This window comes from Homo sapiens, chromosome 3 (genome assembly GCF_000001405.40).
Source record: "Homo sapiens chromosome 3, GRCh38.p14 Primary Assembly".
NCBI classification, from domain to species: Eukaryota; Metazoa; Chordata; class Mammalia; order Primates; family Hominidae; genus Homo; species Homo sapiens.
Genome location: NC_000003.12, coordinates 98,843,365 through 98,865,587, shown reverse-complemented (window position 1 = coordinate 98,865,587; position 22,223 = coordinate 98,843,365). Strand labels below are relative to the sequence as shown.

Genomic DNA, 22,223 nt, shown 5'->3' with positions numbered 1-22,223 from the left:
TAAAAAATCTCTTAGCAATTTTTAACTATACAATACACTGTTATACAGTGTTTCTTTTTAACTTATCACTCCTATGTAACTGAAATTTTTGTGTCCCTTGACCAACATCTCTCCAGCTCATCCCTCCAACTCCCCCTTCAACCCGTTCTACTCTCTGCTTCTGTGAGTTTGTCTTTTTTAGATTCTACATGTGAGTGGGATCATGTAGTATTTGTCTTTCTATGCCTTGCTTATTTCGCTTAACATCATATCCTCCAGTTTCATCCATGTTGTTAGAAATGTCAGGGTTTCTTTTTTTTTTAATACAGGCTGAATAGTACTCTGTTGTGTTCATATACCACATTTCCTTTATCCATTCATCTACTGATGGACATTTAGATTGATTCCATATCTTGGCTATTGTGAATAATGCAGCAGTGAACATGGGAGTGTAGGTATCTTTTCAACATACTGATTTCATTTTCTTTGGATATGTATACCCAGTAGTAAAATTACTGGATCATATGGTAGTTTTATTTTTAATTTTTTGAGGAACTTCCATACTGGTTTTCATAACAGCTATACTAATTTAGATTCCCACCAATAGTGTAGAAGTGTACCATTTTCTCCACATTCTTGTCAACACTTTTGTCTTTTTGATAGTAGCCATTCTAGGAAGCATGAGGTGATATCTCATTGTGGTTTTATTTTCATTTCCTTGGTGTTTAACGGTGCAGAACATTTTTTCTTTTTTTATTATTATTTAAGTTCTAGGATACGTGTGCACAGTGTGCAGGTTTTTTACATATGTATGCATGAGCCATGTTGGTATGCTGCACCCATTAACTCGTCATTTACATTAGGTATATCTCCTAATGCTTTCTCTCCCCCCTCCACCCACCCCACAACAGGCCCCAGAGTGTGATGTTCCCCTGCCTGTGTCCAAGTGTTCTCATTGTTCAATTCCCACCTATGAGTGAGAACATGCGCTGTTTGGTTTTTTGTTCTTGCGATAGTTTGCTGAGAATGATGGTTTCCAGCTTCATCCATGTCCCTACAAAGGACATGAACTCATCTTTTTTTATGGTTGCATAGTATTCCATGGTGTATATGTGCCACATTTTCTTAATCTAGTCTATCATTGATGGACATTTGGGTTGGTTCCAAGTCTTTGCTATTGTGAATAGTGCCACAATAAACATACATGCGCATGTGCCTTTACAGCAACATGATTTATAATCCTTTGGGTATATACCCAGTAATGGGATGGCTGGATCAAATGGTATTTTAAGTTCTAGATACTTGAGGAATTGCCACACTGTCTTCTACAATGGTTTAACAAGTTTACAGTCCCACCAACAATTTAAAAGTGTTCCTATTTCTCCACAACCTCTCCAGCACCTGTTATTTCCTGACTTTTTAATAATCACCATTCTAACTGGTGTGAGGTGGTATCTCATTGTGGTTTTGATTTGCATTTCTCTGATGGCCAGTGATGATGAGCATTTTTTTCTGTGTCTTTTGGCTGCATAAATGTCTTCTTTTGAGAAGTGTCTGTTCATATCGTTCGCCCACTTGTTGATGGGGTTGTTTTTTTCTTGTAAATTTGTTTGAGTTCTTTGTAGATTCTCAATATTAGCCCTTTGTCAGATGAGTAGATTGCAAAAATTTTCTCCCATCCTGTAGGTTGCCTGTTCACTCTGATGGTAGTTTCTTTTGCTGTGCAGAAGCTCTTTAGTTTAATTAGATCCCATTTGTCAATTTTGGCTTTTGTTGCCATTGCTTTTGGTGTTTTAGACATGAAGTCCATGCCTATGTCCTGAATGGTATTGCCTAGGTTTTCTTCTAGGGTTTTTATGGTGTTAGGTCTAACATTTAAGTCTTTAATCCATCTTGAGTTAATTTTTGTATAAGGTGTAAGGAAGGGATCCAGTTTCAGCTTTCTACATATGGCTAGCCAGTTTTCCCAGCACCATTTATTAAATAGGGAATCCTTTCCCCATTTCTTGTTTTTGTCAGGTTTGTCAAAGATCAGATGGTTGTAAATGTATGGTATTATTTCTGAGGGCTCTGTTCTGTTCCATTGGTCTATATCTCTGTTTTGGTCCCAGTACCATGCTGTTTTGGTTACTGTAGCCTTGTAGTATAGTTTGAAGTCAAGTAGCTTGATGCCTCCCGCTTTGTTCTTTTGGCTTAGGATTGTCTTGGCAATGCAGCTTTTTTTTGGTTCCATATGAACTTTAAAGTAGTTTTTTCCAATTCTGTGAAGAAAGTCATTGGTAGCTTGATGGGGATGGCATTGAATCTATAAATTACCTTGGGCAGTATGGCCATTTTCATGATATTGATTCTTCCTCTCCATGAGCCTGGAATGTTCTTCCAATTGTTGACCTCTTTTGTTGAGCAGTGGTTTGTAGTTCTCTTTGAAGAGGTCCTTCACATCCCTTGTAAGTTGGATTCCTAGTTATTTTATTCTCTTTGAAGCAGTTGTGAATGGGAGTTCACTCATGATTTGGCTCTCTGTTTGTCTGTTATTGGTATATAAGAATGCCTGTGATTTTTGTACATTGATTTTGTATCCTGAGACTTTGCTGAAGTTGCTTATCAGCTTAAGAAGATTTTGGGCGTAGATGATGGGGTTTTCTAAATATACAATCATGTCATCTGCAAACAGGGACAATTTGACTTCCTCTTTTCCTAACTGAATACCCTTTATTTCTTTCTCCTGCCTGATTGCCCTGGCCAGAACTTCCAATACTATATGAAATAGGAGTAGTGAGAGAGGGCATCCCTGTTTTGCACCAGTTTTCAAAGGGAATGCTTCCAGTTTTTGCCCATTCAGTGTGATATTGGCTGTGGGTTTGTCATAAATAACTCTTATTATTTTGAGACACGTCTCATCAATACATGATTTATTGAGAGTTTTTAGGATAAAAGGCTGTTGAATTTTGTCAAACCCCTTTTCTGCATCTATTGAGATAATCAATGTGGTTTTTGTATGTGGTTCTGTTTATATGCTGGATTACGTTTATGGATTTGCATATGTTCAACCAGCCTTGCATCCCAGAGATGAAGCCCACTTGATCGTGGTGGATAAACTTTTTGATGTGCTGCTGGATTCGGTTTGCCAGTATTTTATTGAGGATTTTTGCATCGATGTTCATCAGGGATATTGGTCTAAAATTCTCTTTTTTTGTTGTGTCTCTGCCAGGCTTTGGTATCAGGATGATGCTGGCCTCATAAAAAGAGTTAGGGAGGATTCCCTCTTTTTCTATTGATTGGAATACTTTCAGAAAGAATGGTACCAGCTCCTCCTTGTACCTCTGGTAGAATTTGGCTGTGAATCTGTCTGGTCCTGGACTTTTTTTGGTTGGTAGGCTATTATTGCCTCAATTTCAGAGCCTGTTATTGGTCTGTTCAGGGATTCAACTTCTTCCTGGTTTAGTCTTGGGAGGGTGTGCATGTCCAGGAACTTATCCATTTCTTCTAGATTTTCTTGTTTATTTGCGTAGAGGTGTTTGTAGTATTCTCTGATGGTAGTTTGTATCTCTGTGGGATCGGTGGTGATATCCCCTTTATCATTTTTTATTGCGTCTATTTGATTCTTCTCTCTTTTCTTTATTAGTCTTGCTAGCAATCTATCAATTTTGTTGATCTTTTCAAAAAACCATCTCCTGGATTCATTGATTTTTTGAAGGTTTTTTTGTGTCCCTATCTCCTTCAGTTCTTCTCTGATCTTAGTTATTTCTTGCCTTCTGCTAGCTTTTGAATGTGTTTGCTCTTGCTTCTCTAGTTCTTTTAATTGTGATGTTAGGGTGTCCATTTTAGATCTTTCCTGCTTTCTCTTGTGGGCATTTAGTGCTTAAATTTCCCTCTACACACTGCTTTAAATGTGTCCCAGAGATTCTGGTATGTTGTGTCTTTGTTCTCGTTGGTTTCAAAGAACATATTTATTTCTGCCTTCATTTCGTTATGTACCCAGTAGTCATTCAGGAGCAGGTTGTTCAGTTTCCACGTTGTTGAGCGGTTTTGAGTGAGTTTCTTAATCCTGAGTTCTAGTTTGATTGCACTGTGGTCTGAGAGACAGTTTGTTATGATTTCTGTTCTTTTACATTTGCTGAGGAGTACTTTACTTCCAACTATGTGGTCAATTTTGGAATAAGTGCAATGTGGTGCTGAGAAGAACGTATATTGTGTTGATTTGGGGTGGAGAGTTCTGTAGATGTGTGTTAGGTCTGCTTGGTGCAGAGCTAAGTTCAATTCCTGGATATCCCTGTTAACTTTCTTTCTCATTGATCTGTCTAATGCTGACAGTGGGGTGTTAAAAGTCTCCCATTATTATTGTGTGGGAGTCTAAGTCTCCTTGTAGATCTCTAAGGACTTGCTTTATGAATCTGGGTTCTCCTGTATTGGCTGCATATATATTTAGGATAGTTAGCTCTTCTTGTTGAATTGATCCCTTTACCATTATGTAATGGCCTTCTTTGTCTCTTTTAATCTTTGTTGGTTTAAAGTCTGTTTTATCAGAGACTAGGATTGCAACCCCTGCCTTTTTGTGTTTTCCATTTGCTTGGTAGATCTTCCTCCATCTCCTTATTTTGAGCCTATGTGTGTCTCTGCATGTGAGATGGGTCTCCTGAATACAGCACACTGATGAGTCTCGACTCTTTATCCAATTTGCCAGTCTATGTCTTTTAATTGGAGCATTTAGCCCATTTACATTTAAGGTTAATATTGTTATGTGTGAATTTGATCCTGTCATTGTGATGTTAGCTGGTTATTTTGCTTGTTAGTTGATGCAGTTTCTTCCAAGCATTGATGGTCTTTACAATTTGTCATGTTTTTGCAGTGGCTGGTATTGGTTGTTCCTTTCCATGTTTAGTGCTTCCTTTAGGAGCTCTTTTAGGGCAGGCCTGGTGGTGACAAAATCTGTCAGCGTTTGCTTGTCTGTAAAGTATTTTATTTCTCCTTCACTTATGAAGCTTAGTTTGGCTGGATATGAAATTCCGGGTTGAAAATTCTTTCCTTTAAGAATGTTGAATATTGGCCCCTACTGTCTTCTGGCTTGTAGAGTTTCTCCTGAAAGATCTGCTGTTAGTCTGATGGGCTTCCCTTCGTGGGTAACCCAACCTTTCTCTCTGGCTGCTCTCATCATTTTTTCCTTCATTTCAACTTTGGTGAATCTGACAATTATGTGTCATGAAGTTGCTCTTCTCGAGGAGTATCTTTGTGGCATTCTCTGTATTTCCTGAATTTGAGTGTTGGCCTGCCTTGCTAGGTTGGGGAAGTTCTCCTGGATAATATCCTGCAGAGTGTTTTCCAACTTGGTTCCATTCTCCCCATCACTTTCAGGTACACCAATCAGACGTAGATTTGGTCTTTTCACCTAGTCCCATATTTCTTGGAGGCTTTGTTCATTTCTTTTTAGTCTTTTTTCTCCAAATTTCTCTTCTGGCTTCATTTCATTCATTTGATCTTCTATCACCGATACCCTTTCTTCCAGTTGATTGAATTATCTACTGAAGCTTGTGCATTCGTCACGTAGTTCTCATGCCATGGTTTTCAGCTCTATCAGGTCATTTAAGGACTTCTCTACACTGGTTATTCTAGTTAGCCATTCGTCTAATCTTTTCTCAAGGTTTTTAGCTTCTTTGTGTTGTGTTCAAACTTCTTCCTTTAGCTCAGAGAAGTTTGATGGTCTGAAGCCTTCTTCTCTCAACTCGTCAAAGTCATTCTCCGTCCAGCTTTGTTCCGTTGCTGGCGAGGAGCTGCGTTCCTTTGTGGGGGGAGAGGTGCTCTGATTTTTAGAATTTTCAGATTTTCTGCTCTGTTTTTTCCCCATCTTTGTGGTTTTATCTACCTTTGGTCTTTGATGTTGGTGACATACAGATGGGGTTTTGGTGTGGATGTCCTTTCTGTTTGTTAATTTTCCTTTTAACAGTCATAGCCCTCAGCTGAGGTCTGTTGGAGTTTTCTGGAGGTCCACTCCAGACCCTGTTTGCCTGGGTATCAGCAGTGGAGGCTGCAGAACAGTGAATATTGCTGAACAGCAAATGTTGCTGCCTGATCATTCCTCTGGAAGCTTCGTCTCAGAGGCGTACCCGGCCATGTGAGGTATCAGTCTGCCCCTACTGGGGGGTGCCTCCCAGTTAGGCTACTTGGGGGTCAGGGACCCACTTGAGGAGGCAGTCTGTCTGTTCTCAGATCTCAGACTCCATGCTGGGAGAACCACTACTCTCTTCAAAGCTGTCAGACAGGGACATTTAAGTCTGTAGAGGTTTTTGCTGACTTTTGTTTGGCTATGCCCTGCCCCCAGAGGTGGAGTCTACAGAGGCAGGCAGGCCTCCTTGAGCTGCGTTGGGCTCCACCCAGTTCGAGCTTCCTGGCCGCTTTGTTTACCTACTCAACCCTCAGCAATGGTGGGCTCCCCTCCCCCAGCCTCCTGCTGCCTTGCAGTTCAATCCCAGACTGCTGTGCTAGCAATGAGTGAGCCTCCGTTGGCGTAGGACCCTCCGAGCCAGGCGTGGGATGTAATCTCCTGGTGTGCCGTTTGCTATAAGACCATTGGAAAAGTGCGGTATTAGGGCAGAAGTGACCCGATTTTCCAGGTGCCATCTGTCACCCCTTCCCTTGGCTAGGAAAGGGAATTCCCCGACCCCACGCGCTTCCCAGGTGAAGCGATGCCAGTACCTCAGTTGGAAATGCAGAAATCACCCATCTTCTGCGTCGCTCACACTGGGAGCTATAGACTGGAGCTGTTCCTATTCGGCCATCTTGGAACGGAGGACCCAGAACATTTTTTCATATATCTGTTGGCTATTTGTATAATAGGGGAGGGGATTGTTTTCATAAACTTTTTCTGAAAAATGCCTACTTAGGTCTTTTTTCATTTTTAAAGTTACTTGTTTTCTTGCTTTTGAGTTGTTTGACCTCATATGTTTTTGGTATTAACCCCTTACCAGATACATGGTTTGCAGGTATTTTCTCTTTCTGTGTCTCTTCACTCTGTTGATTGTTTTCTTTGCTATGCGAAAGCATTTTAGTGTGAGGTAATCCTATATGCCTATTTTTTAATGTTAATATTTGTTCCATTGCTTTGTGTATTTATTTTTAATACTTATGAGAGGTGACAGCGTGCTGGCAGCCCTCGCAGGCCTCGCTCGCTCTCGGCACCTCCTCTGCCTGGGCTCCCACTTTGGCAGCACTTGAGGAGCCCTTCAGCCTGCTGCTGCACTGTGGGAGCCCCTTCCTGGGCTGGCCAAGGCCGGAGCCGGCTCCCTCAGCTTGCGGGTAGGTGTGGAGGGAGAGGCGCAGGCGGGAACTGGGGCTGCACACGGCGCTTGCGGGCCAGTGCGAGTTCTGGGTGTGTGTGGGCTCGGCAGGCCCCACACTCGGAGTGGCCAGCTGGCCCTGCCAGCCCCAGGCAGTGAGGTGCTTAGCACCTGGGCCAGCAGCTGCTGTGACTTTTCGCTGGGCCTTAGCTGCCTCCCCGTGGGGCAGGGCTCGGGACCTGCAGCCCGCCATGCCTGAGCCTGCCCCCCACCGTGGGCTGCTGCGTGGCCCAAGCCTCCCCGACGAGCACCGCCCCCTGCTCCATGGCACCCAGTCCCATTGACCACCCAAGGGCTGAGGAGTGCGGGCGCACGGCGCGGGACTGGCAGGCAGCTCCACCTGCAGCCCCGGTGCGGGATCCACTGGGTGCAGCCAGCTGGGCTCCTGAGTCTGGTGGGGACTTGGAGAACCTTTATGTCTAGCTAAGGGATTGTAAATACACCAGTCGGCACTCTGTATCTAGCTCAAGGTTTGTAAAGACACCAATCAGCACCCTGTGTGTGGCTCAGGGTTTGTGAATGCACCAATCGACTGTATCTAGCTACTCTAGTGGGGACGTGGAGAACCTTTATGTCTAGCTAAGGGATTGTAAATACACCAATCGGCACTGTGTATCTAGCTCAAGGTTTGTAAACACACCAATCAGCACCCTGCGTCTAGCTCAGGGTTTGTGAATGCACCAATCGACACTCTGTGTCTAGCTAATCTCGTGGGGATGTGGAGAACTTTTGTGTCTAGCTCAGGGATTGTAAACGCACCAATCAGCACCCTGTCATAACGGACCAATAAGCTCTCTGTAAAATGGACCAGTCGGCTCTCTGTAAAATGGACTAATCAGCAGAATGTGGGTTGGGCCAGATAAGAGAATAAAAGCAGGCTGCCGGAGCCAGCAGTGGCGAGCCAGCAGTGGCAACCCAGCTTGGGTCCCCTTACACACTGTGGAAGCTTTGTTCTTTCGCTCTTTGCAATAAATCTTGCTACTGCTCACTCTTTGGGTCCACACTGCCTTTATGAGCTGTAACACTCACCGCAAAGGTCTGCAGCTTCACTCCTGAAGCCAGCGAGACCACGAACCCACCAGGAGGAATGAACAACTCCAGACGTGCCGCCTTAAGAGCTGTAACACTCACCACGAAGGTCTGCAGCTTCACTCCTGAGCCAGTGAGACCACGAACCCACCAGAAGGAAGAAACTCCAAACACATCCGAACATCAGAAAGAACAAACTCCGGACATGCCACCTTTAAGAACCGTAACACTCACTGCGAGGGTCTGCGGCTTCGTTCTTGAAGTCAGTGAGACCAAGAACCCACCAATTCTGGACACACTTATATGTCAGTTGAATCTTCTTTGCCATTTATATCCCCTTTCATTTCAGCCACATTCTCACTGATCCTTTTTACTTTTTAAATATTCTTTTTAGTCTGTTTTTTTTCTTCTTTTCAACATTCCTTATGTTTTCGTTAGAATCTGTAATTCCTTGTGCACTTTATAATGTCTTAATTCTTCATTTTTGGTATACTTTTGTCTTTTTCTTATATTTCTTTCCTGAGGTCAACCAACTCTCATTTCTTTCTGCTTTTTTTGTCCATTTCTGCCCCTAGTTTCTGAATTTATGCTTCAAGATGTTTTATCATATCCCAAATGTATGAGGACATTTAATTAACTTTGGAGTGTTGTGCTGTAGTTTCCTTCTGTCACTGTTTTTATAGGGGGAGAGGGTTTTCATAAACTAAATTTTAGGGATTCCCATTTTTTGTTTTCTTTTTATACTGTGTATTTTTAAGTAGATTAACATTGTACCTCTGTATTTCTGTGGATAGGGCTGGCAGTTTGCAGTGGTTTATAAGCTTTGTAGCTCATAATAGGCCCCTTTGTTAATATAGTTTTTTCTTTTTTTTCTTCTGAGAGAGACCATAGTTCGGGAGAGATTGCATATATATTTGTTGTTTTGTTTTGTTCTTTCAGTATCCTAAATGTTTCCTCTGAGGTTTTGAGGCAGATTATTGAGGAATTGACAACTGTCCATTTCTCAGCATTTAACTGGAGGGAACTTACTCTCCTGTGAGATCCTGCCCCCATCCAAGAATTCCTGTTTGTGAGCCTTTTAAGTGAATATTAAAAGGTTTTGACATCTCCTAAGTAGTGAAGAGTATATTTTTTCAGAAAAGCTTTAAAGAAATTTCTTGATATTCTATGAATGTCTCATCTGTGATGCTTGGCACCACATCTGGTTTTGCTGAAGTCTTCACATTATTATGACTCATTGCTTTTTGTATTAGCATACTTGGCATGAGAAACTGCCAGCTATACTGAAATAATCTGTCAACTTAGTAAGAGCTAGGACCTTGAATCACTACCTTTTCAAGATGTTTTATTAAGAAATAGAATGTGAAGCTCTCTTTACAGAGTTGGCTTGTTTTCCAAAAGATAACTCTTAAAGTCCTTTGCTAAAGTAGAAGTTTCATAAGAGAGAAGGAAAGCCCACTTGGAAAATTTCGATGGGGAATTTTGATATTACCTTATGAATATTTCAGCCCATCTGAATGCTATAAATTTTTCTATCAAGACCGTTTGGTTACCATTGTAGATAGTGGTAAAAACCTATATGCTCTTTTGTCTGAGCTACAGTTCTGAAAGGATTTTAGAGGAGGGAACTATGCTTACAGTCAAAGAAATGCATAGTTTTAAAACTACATTTTTTTCCTGACTTTTGAATTCATAAAAAATATTAAAATTTTAATGTTATGTTTGTGTGAGTGTGGTAAAACTGACACTTTTTTATGTTGAAGATGTACGTAAGTACACATTTCTATACGTAGAAGAGGAATTGCTGGGTCACTGGGTTGCATATGTTCAGCTTTAGCAGTTATTGCCAAATGTTTTTGTGGCTGTACTATTTTATACCCACCACCAGTGTATAAGAGTTCTAGTTACCATTCTCTGCTTTTCTCCATGTTAACTGTTCTGGTGTGTGTGTACTGATGGCATGTTATACATAGTTTGCTTTGTATTTCCTTGATAGCTGATGATACTGTGCTCTTTTCATACATTTATTATCCATTTAAATATCTTTGTTTATAAAAAATCTGTTTACATTTTCATGCATATTCTCTATTGGGAGATCTTTTTCTTATTCATTTGTTGGAGTTCTGTATATATTCGGGTAATGGGTTCTTTTTAGATGTAGTAAATGTATCTTCTCCATTGCTATGGGCTGCCATTTTACTCCCTTACTGGTATCTTATGATAAATAAACGTTAATTTTATGTAGTTTGCGTTTACTAATTATTTTATGGTTAGTACTTTTTGTATTCTGTTTAAGAAATTTTTGCCCAGTTCTAGGTCGTGAAGCTCTTCTCAAAGTTTTCCACTTAAAGCCTTATTGGATTTGTTTCTAATATTATCCTCAATCCATCCAGAATTGATTTTTATCTGTGTTGTGTGAGGTAGGAGTCAAAGTGTCAAGGTACATTTTTCCCTTGCAGCGTTTATTCACTTTAAAATGTGCAGATATCAGATCTGCTGCTTAAGAAGAATAACACCAAAATAGCCACTTTTCTAAAATCAAGATGTACAATGACTATGATATGTTGTAGAAAAACATAATTTAAAATACTTTTCTAAAACCACTATATTTTAGAAGGAGAGGCAAATTCATTTTTAGTAATATTGTTAAATCCCTTTTAAACCTAGTAAATATCTGTTATGTCCCATTTTAAATATATACCCAATAGTCTAATTGTTCAAAAAGAAATTAGAGCTATACCTTCCTATCATTATCTTCTGCAGGCAAGTCTTTGCTGAAGCAGCTAAAAGTAAGGCTAAATCCAGCCAAAAGGACAGCTTATTCACAGTATAAGAGAAATGATTATGGGAAGACATTTTAGACATTCAAAAAGAGAACACTCAACCACTCCAAGCAGGGGGTTAATTTGTACATCTCCACCTCACTCTGGCCCACCAAGCATAAGACAATGGTCCTCAAAGCCAGACTTTTTAAAGAAACTACTGATGGGAGTTATTTAATGATAGCATCTATGGTAAACATTGTTCAGGAGCTATCATGGCCTCTTCTGTACCTTAGAGGATTCAACTGTACATTTGATTTGTCCCACTACACTAAGCTTTCTGAGGGCATCACTGCCTCTCATTCCATTACTGAATCCCCAGTTCCTGCCTGGCTTAGTGCCTGGATATTCAGAGTTTCAGTAAATGAGTTCCTTTGAGAATTCCAAATTTTGTTTTTGAGACTAGAGATGCTCTATACTAGTTAAAAAAAGAAAAAAAAAACCTGTTCGTAAATAAGTTTGTAAATTAGGACTGAGGCTCTTTAAGCAAGCTTCATTTCCCTCCACTGAAAGTGGGCAGAGCTGATGTGCTTTTGTTCTAGCAAGTAACTCTCTACCCTCTGGTTCATCCTTCTAAGTTGCAGATTCCTAAGGAGAGCATTGTTCCGTGGCACACCTCAGGAAGTTGAATGAGCTTCCATTTAATTGAGAACATAAATAAGATTTCTCAAGTTTCGTAACAATATTAATTATACTTCTGGTTTATCAGAGTCAGATGCACTATCTCCCCTCTTTTGAATACAGAATGTTTCCATTTAACACCTTCTAGAGCTTAATTTATTGCTGTTATTCATCTACTGTGGTTGATGTGGACATCAGAAGAGGCATGGTGACCATAAGGTCTCTATACTCTGTACAAGTGGCTACAAGCTCACTGCCAACAGGGTCTAGACAGATGAAATAAAGGAGTGAAATGGCCTAGGCATATGAAGAATAACAGCATAGCCATGATGATAAATGATAGCTGAGCTTCAGGACTGGTGGCATTGTGGAGTGATAGGGCTGTGGCAAACTGGAGTGTGACTTTCTTTTTCAAAGGGGACAGCTGCTACTTAAGGACAACCACTTAGAAAACTGGCCTAGATTTCCTTTTTTTCCTTGTGATTTTTCAAGAGAAGTTGGAAATTCAGAATTTATGTTAAGTTTCCAGATTTTGAGAACTTTAACACCTAATTTAAACATTTTTGAAGGAGAGTATAGCCCAGAGCTGTACAGACCAAGAGGCCTGTGGGCTAATTTGGGTCCTGAGCCATCAATTCTAACTTCGCCTCCATACCTCTATCAAATTCAATTATCCAAAAGCACAATATTCTTGGACTGTACACTAAATTCCTGGTTGTATTCTGTTTTACTTTGCTTCTTAATAAATTATCACAAGCCTACAACTTAAAACAGCGCAGTTTTATCATCTCACTTCCCATGGATCTGAAGTCTAGGCATTGCATGGCATGACTGAATTCTCTGCTTGGGGTCCCACCAGGCTGAAATTAAGGTGTTAGCTGGGAATACGTTTCTCATCTGGGGCTCACAGTTCTCTTCCAAGTGTACTAGTTGTTGGTAGAATTCAGTTCATTGCAGTTGTAAAACTGAGGTCCCCATTTTCTTGGTAACTGTTGGCCAGGGACTGCTTTAACTTTCTAGAGGTGACTTGCAATGGCCCTGATAGGCAAGTTGCTACATAGATGTTTGCATTCTTCCAGGCCACCTGGCATGTGTCTCTCTTATTTCCAATTCTGCAACCTGAGAAAACAATGTGCTTTTAATGGGCCTACCTGATTAGTTCAGGCTTACCCAGAAAAATCTCCGTTTTGCCATATATGTAACATAAAAGAAGTTAAAAATGAAACTGACAGGGAATCCTGGTAAGAAATACCCTAGAAGGCTGGGTGCGGTGGCTCACGCCTGTAATCCCATCACTTTGGGAGGCCGAGGTGGGTGGATCACCACAGGTCAGGAGTTCTAGACCAGCCTGGCAAATACGGTGAAACCCTGTCTCTAATAAAAATACAAAAATTAGCCTGGCGTGTTGGTGTGCGCCTGTAATCCCAGCTACTTGGGAGGCTGAGACAGGAGAATTGCTTGAACGTGGGAGGCAGAGGTTGCAGTGAGCCAAGATCACGCCACTGTACTCCAGCCTGGGTGACAGAGCGAGACTCCTTTAAAAAAAAAAAAAAAAAGAAATATCCTAGAAGCATTAAAAGATCACATACTAGAGGAAATTTTACAAGTAAACACACATTGGAAAAGTTAATCAAGAAAATAACAAGTTACCAGTCTCTTGATCACCAATACTGCTGGGGAGAAGGGGAATAAATTGGTACAGCCTTTTTGTTTAATTAGATTCCATTTGTCAGTTTTGGCTTTTGTTGCCATTGTTTTTGGTGTTTTAGTCATGCAGTCTTGGCCCATGCCTATGTCCTGAATGGTATTGCCTAGGTTTTCTAGGTTTTTTATGGTTTTAGGTCTTACGTTTAAGTCTTTAATCCATCTTGAGTTAATTTTTGTATAAGGTGTAAGGAAGGGGCCCAGTTTCAGTTTTCTGCATATGGCTAGCTGGCCAGTTTTCCCAACAGCATTTATTAAATAGGGAACCCTTTCCCCGTTGCTTGTTTTTGTTAGGTTTGTCAAAGATCAAATGGTTGTAGTTGTGTAGTGTTATTTCTGAAGCCTCTGTTCTGTTCCATTGGTCTACATACCTGTTTTGGTACCAGTACCGTGCTGTTTGGGTTACTGTAGCCTTGTATAGTTTGAAGTCAGGTAGCGTGATGCCTCCAGCTTTGTTCTTTTTGCTTAGGAATGTCTTGGCTACATGGATTCTTTTTTGGTTCCATATGAAATTTAAAGTAGTTTTTTCTAATTCTGTGAAGAAAGTCAATGGTAGCTTGATGGGGATAGCATTGAATCTATACATTTGGGCATTATGGCCATTTTCCTGATATTGATTCTTCCTATCCACGAGCATGGAATGTTTTTCCATTTGTATCCGCTCTTATTTCCTTGAGCAGTGCTTTGTAGTTCTCCTTGAAGAGGTCCTTCACATCCCTTGTAAGTTGTATTCCTAGGTATTTTATTCTCTTTGTAGCAATTGTGAATGGGAGTTCTCTCATGATTTGGCTCTCTGTCTGTTATTGGTGTATAGGAATGCTTGTGATTTTTTCACGTTGATTTTGTATCCTGAGACTTTGCTGAAGTTGTCTATCAGCTTAAGGAGATTTTGGGCTGAGACAATGGGGTTTTCTAAATATACAGTCATGTCATCTGCAAACAAAGACAATTTTACTTCCTCACTTCCTGTTTGAATACCCTTTATTTCTTTCTCTTGCCTGATTTCCCTGACCAGAACTTCCAGTACTATGTTAATAGGAGTGGTGAGAGAGGGCATCCTTGTCTTGTGCAGGTTTTCAAAGGGAATGCTTCCAGTTTTTGCCCATTCAGTATGATATTGGCTGTGGGTTTGTCATAAATAGTTCTTATTATTTTGAGGTATGCTGATTTTGAACTTTTTAAAGCAATTTTATTCCTAAGTTTTTTAACTTTTTTGATGCTATTATGGATGGAGTTTTAAAAATTTCATTTCAGATTGCACTAGCATATATGGAAATGCAGTTGATTTTTGTATATGGATCCTGTGACTTAGCTAAGTTTCTTTACTAGTTCTAGAGAGGTTTTGTTTTGTTTTATTTGTCAATTCCTTAGAATTCACTACTCATAAGATAAAGTATCATCCTTGAAAATGATATCCTTGGAGGTCCACATTACTCTTATTCAAGTGATGTTGCCATAGCTTAAAACATTTTTGGAAGTCCTTATTCAGGCTTTCTTACACAAGTTACCAAGCACATAAGAAAATCAGTTTTTATTATTTATTAGTGTGTGTCTTGCTTTAATTTTTCTTCTTCTTTCTTTTTATCTTAGTATCTTAGATCTGTACTGAGGATATGTTATTTTTTATATATCTGATAGACCAAGCTTGTCCAACCTGTGGCCTGCAGGCCACATGCGGCCCAGGACAGCTTTGAATGCGGCCCAACAGAAATTTATAAACTTTCTTAAAACATGAGATTTTTTTGTGATTTATTTATGTTTGTTTGTTTATTGGTTGATTGATCGTGCCCAAAAGCTGTCATTAGTGTTAATGCATTTTATGTGTGGCCCAAGACAATTCTTTTTCCACTGTGGCCCAGGGAGACCAAAAGATGAGGCACCTCTGTGATAGACATTAAAGGATGAAATTTAGGCACACAGTTTTATATATGCATCTGACATTCAAGGAAAAAGCTGTGGATGGAAGGTTAAGCTTGTGAGTTGTCAGATCATAGTTAAAGCCATGGGATCAGATATGATCACCTAAAGAGATTAACTAGAAATCCAACAACCCTCAGAAGTAAAATTGAGTAGGTCCAAAAAAAGGCTTGAGGGATGACCTGAGGCTGGAATCTAAGGGGTTTGAGGGAAGCACTTTAAGAATACTACTAATTAATCATCAATTCATTTGTGAGCCACCTGCCTGGATGAAATATTTTGTTAATTTTTTTTTTAGTCCCTCATTATTGTTTTGAAAGAGTATACATGTCTTTCACAGGAAATTAATCTCTATAAGTTCAGTGATGCATGTACTGCTTTTCCTTTTGAATCATTTGAATAGACATTACTTGTCATTTTTTTCCTCCAGAGCAATATGATTGGTAATCATTAAACATTTTAGTCATTATTCCATACTAATTTAACAGCCAGCTTGGTATATTATTCTGCTTCTGTTATCTACATTGCAAATATTATTGACTTCATGAGAGTCATCCCAAATAATCTGCTTTTCTTTCATTCCTAGGCAAATACTGTGGTCTGGGGTTGCAAATGAACCATTCAATTGAATCAAAAGGCAATGAAATCACATTGCTGTTCATGAGTGGAATCCATGTTTCTGGACGCGGATTTTTGGCCTCATACTCTGTTATAGATAAACAAGGTAATTTTCACCTTTTGCAATGGTTCCTACAGTTTGTAATTTCTAACAACAAAAATAAAATGCTTTTTTTAAGTACCTGTTTTCTGAAATTGGAATAGAGCAGAAAGACTGAACAATTAATAGCACATATATAAATTTGACAAATAAGGTGAGTTCAGTTTCAAAGTTCCAAAAATAAAAGTACATAAACGTTACTTCCCTTTCCTTAGTAAAGGAAATACTGCTGAAATGCTGATTTTTTTTATTTTTATAAGATTGGAACACGAGCTATAATAACTTTTTTTTTTTTTTGAGACAGAGTTTTGCTCTTGTTGCCCAGGCTGGAGTGCAGTGGTGTGATCTCGGCTCACCGCAATCTCCACCTCCCGGGTTCAAGCAATTCTCCTGTCCCAGCCTCCTGAGTAGCTGGGATTACAGGCATGCGCCACCATGCCCAGCTAATTTTGTATTTTTAGTAGAGATGGGGTTTCTACATGTTGGCCAGGCTGGTCTCGAACTCCTGACCCCAGGTGATCCGCCTGGCTCGGCCTCCCAAAGTGCTGGGATTACAGGTGTGAGCTACTGCACCCGGCCTATAATAACATTTTTAAAATTTATAAATTATTGAAATGTTTTATATCAATTTAAAACATTATTATTCACAGTTTACCACTTCATAGTGCTGTGTTAAAGACCATACTACCATTATTTTCAAAGAATAAGATCTCACATCCCCAGGAGTACCTGAGGAGTGCTGAGACAGCATGAAATAAACATGGGATATTTCTAAATTGCTAATGTTTAGGAGGAAAATGTGGTGTAAAGGGGGAAAATTAAAAACAAGGTTATTCAGATGCTGGTGAGGTTGTGGAGAAAAAGAAACCGTATACACTGTTTGTGGGAGTGTAAGTCAGTTCAGCCATTGTGGAAGACAGTGTGGCAATTCCTCAAAGACCTAAAGACAGAAATACCATTCAACCCAGCAATCCTATTACTGGATATATACCCAAAGGAATATAAATTATTCTGTCATAAAGACATAAGCATGTGTATGTTCATTGCACCGCTATTCAATAGCAAAGACTTAGAATCACCTTAAATGCCCATCAGTGATAGACTGGATAAAGAAAGTTTTGGACATGTATACCATGGAATACTATGCAGCCATGAAAAAGAATGAGATGTTCTTTGCAGGGACATGGATGGAGCTGGAAGCCCTTATCTTTAGCAAACTAATTAATGCAGGAACAGAAAACCAAATACTGCATGTTTTCACATATAAATAGGAGCTAAATTATGAAAACACATGGACATATAGAGGGGAACAACACACACTGGGGCTTTTGGGAGGGTGGGAGGTGGGAGAGGATCAGGAAAAATAACTAATGGATACCAGGCTTAATACCTGGATGATAAAATAATCTGTAAAACAAGCCCCCATGACGCAAGCTTACTTATGGAACAAACCTGCACATGTACCCCAAACTTAAAAGTTTAAAAACAAAAGATTATCAAATAGAATAAAATCCAAAATTTACCTGAATCTCTAAGATAAAATGCAAGACCTGCATGAACTCTCTCACGTGTTTTAGCTGCTGTGGGATGTGTTCATTTCCCCCTGCTATATAGGGGTACCATGATGAGAAAGTTTAATAAGTGTTGCTAGTACAAGAATATATCAAAACAATCATTTAAATTTTTAACAGTTGATTATTTTGATATTCAGCATTGAATTAAGTTACCATTTAAAAGTTTAAATTGGCTTTTACTTCATATTGTATAAATGAGGAGATTCTCAAGAACCTCCTAGTTGTGAGAATGCTGGGCACTGGGAATTATAGGGGAAAGCAAGCGATTCCTCCTCAGCTATGGTGGGCTTGAGATAAACACGATATGTCTTATTGAAAGTTTCATATAGAAAGTGATAGAGGAGAGAGCTGTTCTGTGTGGAGGAACCTGCCTTTCCTTAGTTTATAAGCAGTAGGGCAAGATGTGAAGGCTAACAAAATCTTTCATAGTAAATGAGAAGGAAAATTCATTTGGATGAAATAATAGAAAAGAACTAGAAACATTATGCCAAATGAACAATTAATATTTTCGACAGAACCAGGAAAACTTAGTCAGTGTGATGTTATGGAAAGGACTCTTGGTATCCCTGCCTCTGCCACGTGCTAGCTGGCTAACCTCTGGCCAGTCATTTCACCACTGTGAGTTGTATCTTTGAATGGATTCGTTGTGAGGACTGAATCTAATAAAAACATGTGTACTGTTTGTAGGCTCATGACATAGCAGACACATACAATGTTAGTTTCCCCCCTTCTACCACTGTACACATGCATACACGTGTTCCCCACCCCTACCACCAAAAGAGTAATGTAGAGAACACAAGTGAGATGATAATGGATTACCGTCCTTTAAGTTTTACTTATTGAAAGTCTTGGGTTGATAGGTGAGAGGATAGAAAATAAAGTTAATTTGCTTCTTATTTTCATTAAGTTTCTTAATATCAGGTTAAATTATTTATTTTGATTCATATTTTTGCTTTTCTCTGTTATTTATCAAGTTGAAGGTTTCTGGAAAATAAGTATCCTGTTTTTTTAAAAAAAGGTTCTCATATTAGATATTTAAATTATGAGGCTTTTTGGCCCACAGAAACCTTAATGTCCTGCATGAAATTTACTTAAGAATTGGCTATGACCTCAGATAAAAGAATCAGTATGTTGTGTAGCTTACAAACCTGTACCAAATTTCAAATGGCTATATTCTATTTTAGATGAATCTTAGCTTCCAAAGATTTTTGAAACAACCACCTTAATCAGGAATTTCTTGATACTAAAACTTTCCAAAGTCATAATCATCTTGGGAAATCTCATTTAACAGCTCCTAAAATCTTATTATTTTTTGCCTGTCTTTATCCCATCCATCAAGCATTTGTTTTATCTGAACTAGAATGAATTGCCTGAACTATATTCAAGACAACACTGGTTGAATTTCTTATTACTTCTTCTTGGGTGGCTTTTTGATGACAATTTCTTATAATGACTCATTAATTTGAAGGTTGCTTGGCTTTGGTTGAGGTCCTCAGTATATTTTTATCCAGGAAACTTAACTGCCACAATGAATTCCATAAATATTTTCAAGGAACCTAGCTACATGTCCCTAGCCTAGAAGTCTAGTTGAAGATTTAGAGTATTTGGGAATGAAAAGATTGTGAAAAATATTGCTTCATCAGCTACTTCATTTGTTAGGCTCTCAAGATGACTTGTGTTATAGCATGGGTTGTTGATAGAGTCATCATTTTGCATGAGATAGACTAATTCTCATTACCTTGTGCAAGAGCCCATTATAAAAATCTATTCCTTTTGATTCCTTATTTCCTGCCCTATACTTGGCACCAAGGAAACAGCAGTAGATAAGACACAATCACACCTTCATGGAACTTGCAGTATAGGGTTGGAAAAAGATATTAAACGATTACTTCATTGCAACTATGAAATAAAGTATGGTGAAAGAATCACCAAATGATAGGGGCCAGAGGTGTGTGGGGAGTGGAAGATTGATAAAAAGCAGAGTTTTCCTGAGGAAGTCACTTTTAAGCTGAGAAGTGAAGGATTGGAGTTTCCAGGCAGACAAGGAAGGAAAAACATTCTACAGAAGGGAACAGCAGGTGCAAAAACCTGATGGTAGAGAAGAGCTCTGGGAGAACTGGAAAAGAAAGCAGAGTAGCTGAAGTAGATTGGGTTGGGGGAGAGTAGGCTTCATTATTCTGAACCTTACAGAAAATGTAAGGGTTGGAGCTTTTTCCTAAGAGTGCATGGAAGCTGTTAAGGAAGATGTTAAGAACAGAGAAGTGGTGTGACTGGATTTATGTTTTTGTTTATGCAGTCTTCCCTGCTCTGTGAAGAGCGGGTCAAATAAAAGTAAGAATAAATGTAGAGAGGCCCGTTAAGAGGCTGTCCGAGGAGGCAAAGCAGAGATGATTGAATTAAGAGGTCTCGTTATAAATGTAACTAGAATTATGCCAGTTTGTAAAGACTGTAGAGTCAGACATATCTTCTATAGGGAACATTTCGATGAATTAGAGTTTATCTTGGTGGAATTTAAGCTCTAGGAAGAGTCTTTGAGCATTAGGAAGCCCTCTTGGGTAAAGCTCTGAGCTACAGTAATGCCCGGGTTGTATCTTGGGCTCTCTACCTGGAGTCCTCTTCCACTTTCATTTCTAGTTTTCATTAAATTTTTAATAAAGCTTTTTCCCCCCTCTGCTATTTTTAATGATCTTTGAGCAATAGTTTTCAGCTTTTTTCATTACCAGTTATCTCTTTCCATTTTCACCTATAAACCTCATTTTTGAAAGATAGTGAAAGGAAAAGTTCCCATTTCCTCAAGCAATTTGATATATAGAAATATGAATCAAGACTTCCAACAACTATGAGAGGACTAATAATTTCTACTCTAAAGTAGCATAATCTCAACAAATTTCAACTGTTCCACAGAAGCAGCCACTAAATACTTCCTTATACAAACAACCACATCTATAGTCCTCATAATAGGTATTCTCTCTAACAGTCTATTCGCCACACAGTGAACTATAATAAATACTGTTAATCAGTTTTCATCTACCACGGCCAGACTTTCTGAAAATTTGAACGTGTATGTGGACCTTTGTGGTATCTTGGACTTTTATACTGGCAACCCCTGTTTAGAAGCTCTATAGAAACTCCTGAGTTACTGCTGGTGTTACTGAGTGAGGCAGAACCTACCACAGTAAGGTCCAGACTCAGGTAACTTGGATCTTTTAATTTAGTATAATAATGAATGTGGCCAGGTGCGGTGGTTCACACTTGTAATCCCAGCACTTTGGGAGGCCGAAGCGGGTGGGTCATCTGAGGTCAGTAGTTCGAGACAAGCCTGGCCAACATGATGAAAACCTGTCTTTACTAAAAATATAAAAAATTAGCCGGGCGTGGTGGTGGGTGCCTGTAATCCCAGCTACTCAGGGGGCTGAGGCAGGAGAATCGTTTGTTTGTACCCGGGAGGCGAAGGTTGCAGTGAGCCAAGACTGCATTACTGCACTCCAACCTGGGCAACAAGAATGAAACTCTATCCCAAAATAATAATAATAATAATAATAATAATAAATGCTACTGACATTTTATTCTGAAAAGTAGATTTAAAAACAGTGGTTGTCATTGGAATTGAAAAATAAAATGAATTTTATAGATGATCTAAATTTCTGTTTTTGAATCTGTTCAACAATGACCAGTTTCTAGGAGGAACTGGACATTTGTAGAATGGTTCTGGGTGACGAATTTTTTAAGTTGTAGTTATAAAACAGTGAACTCAAAAGAAATATATACATTTGCATTGAAAGCTTCAAGTCCTTCAAGACAGCATTTATTCATATGTACCATAATTGGGGTGTGTGTGTGTGTGTGTGTGTGTGTGTGCATGCATGATTGGAAAGTGGTGATCCTGGTATTCTTTTTGGAGAACATGAAATTGTCACTTAAAACATAATACTGAATCTTACTACTTTAGATTTCACCAACTCGAAATTTTGTAGTGCTCAGTCTATAAAGTTTGCCTTTATTTTGGACGGGAGAAATAGTAAATAGTTTAAAATTTCATGTGAAATAATGTAGATATTAATATAGTTCCTAATCGGAACTCATAAACACATGTTCATTCATTGTCTGCCACCCCTTAGAATCTGATGACAGTGCACTTAAGACTTGTAAACAGCTGAGCCTGGAAAATATTCCCATTTAACAAGATTATCATTGCTATATGATGGATTATTTTTAGAATTAACACCAATAGTATAAAAAATATTTGCTGCATTTTTTAACCACATCATTTTTGCAAATATTTGCCATTTTTTCATTCTTACATCAGATTATATGAGTTTGCAAATGAAACGTAGGGCTGACTAGATAATTCCTTTCTAGCAGAGTCCAAATTTCTGTAACCGGTTATTTTTTTCCTGCATGGAATGTTTTCGGCTTTGAAAATAGAGTGTGAATTCCTTAGATTGTTTGCCTTCTTAACCGTACAGTAATTTTATAGAATCTGTTTTGTTTCCAGTACTACAATTGGCTAGGTTCCTATTTGTTATTT

At 39.1% G+C, this 22,223-nt stretch overlaps 1 protein-coding gene across 3 annotated transcripts in view; it reads left to right on the top strand.

The window, feature by feature from the left end:
• Nucleotides 1-22,223, top strand: part of DCBLD2 (discoidin, CUB and LCCL domain containing 2) — a 105,755-nt gene that overhangs the window by 36,108 nt on the left and 47,424 nt on the right. For all 3 annotated transcript variants that reach the window (XM_011512419.3, NM_080927.4, XM_024453348.2), the window contains one exon: nt 15,990-16,127. In XM_011512419.3, the coding sequence (XP_011510721.1) occupies nt 15,990-16,127 (138 nt within the window). The remainder of the gene's footprint in view (nt 1-15,989; nt 16,128-22,223) is intronic.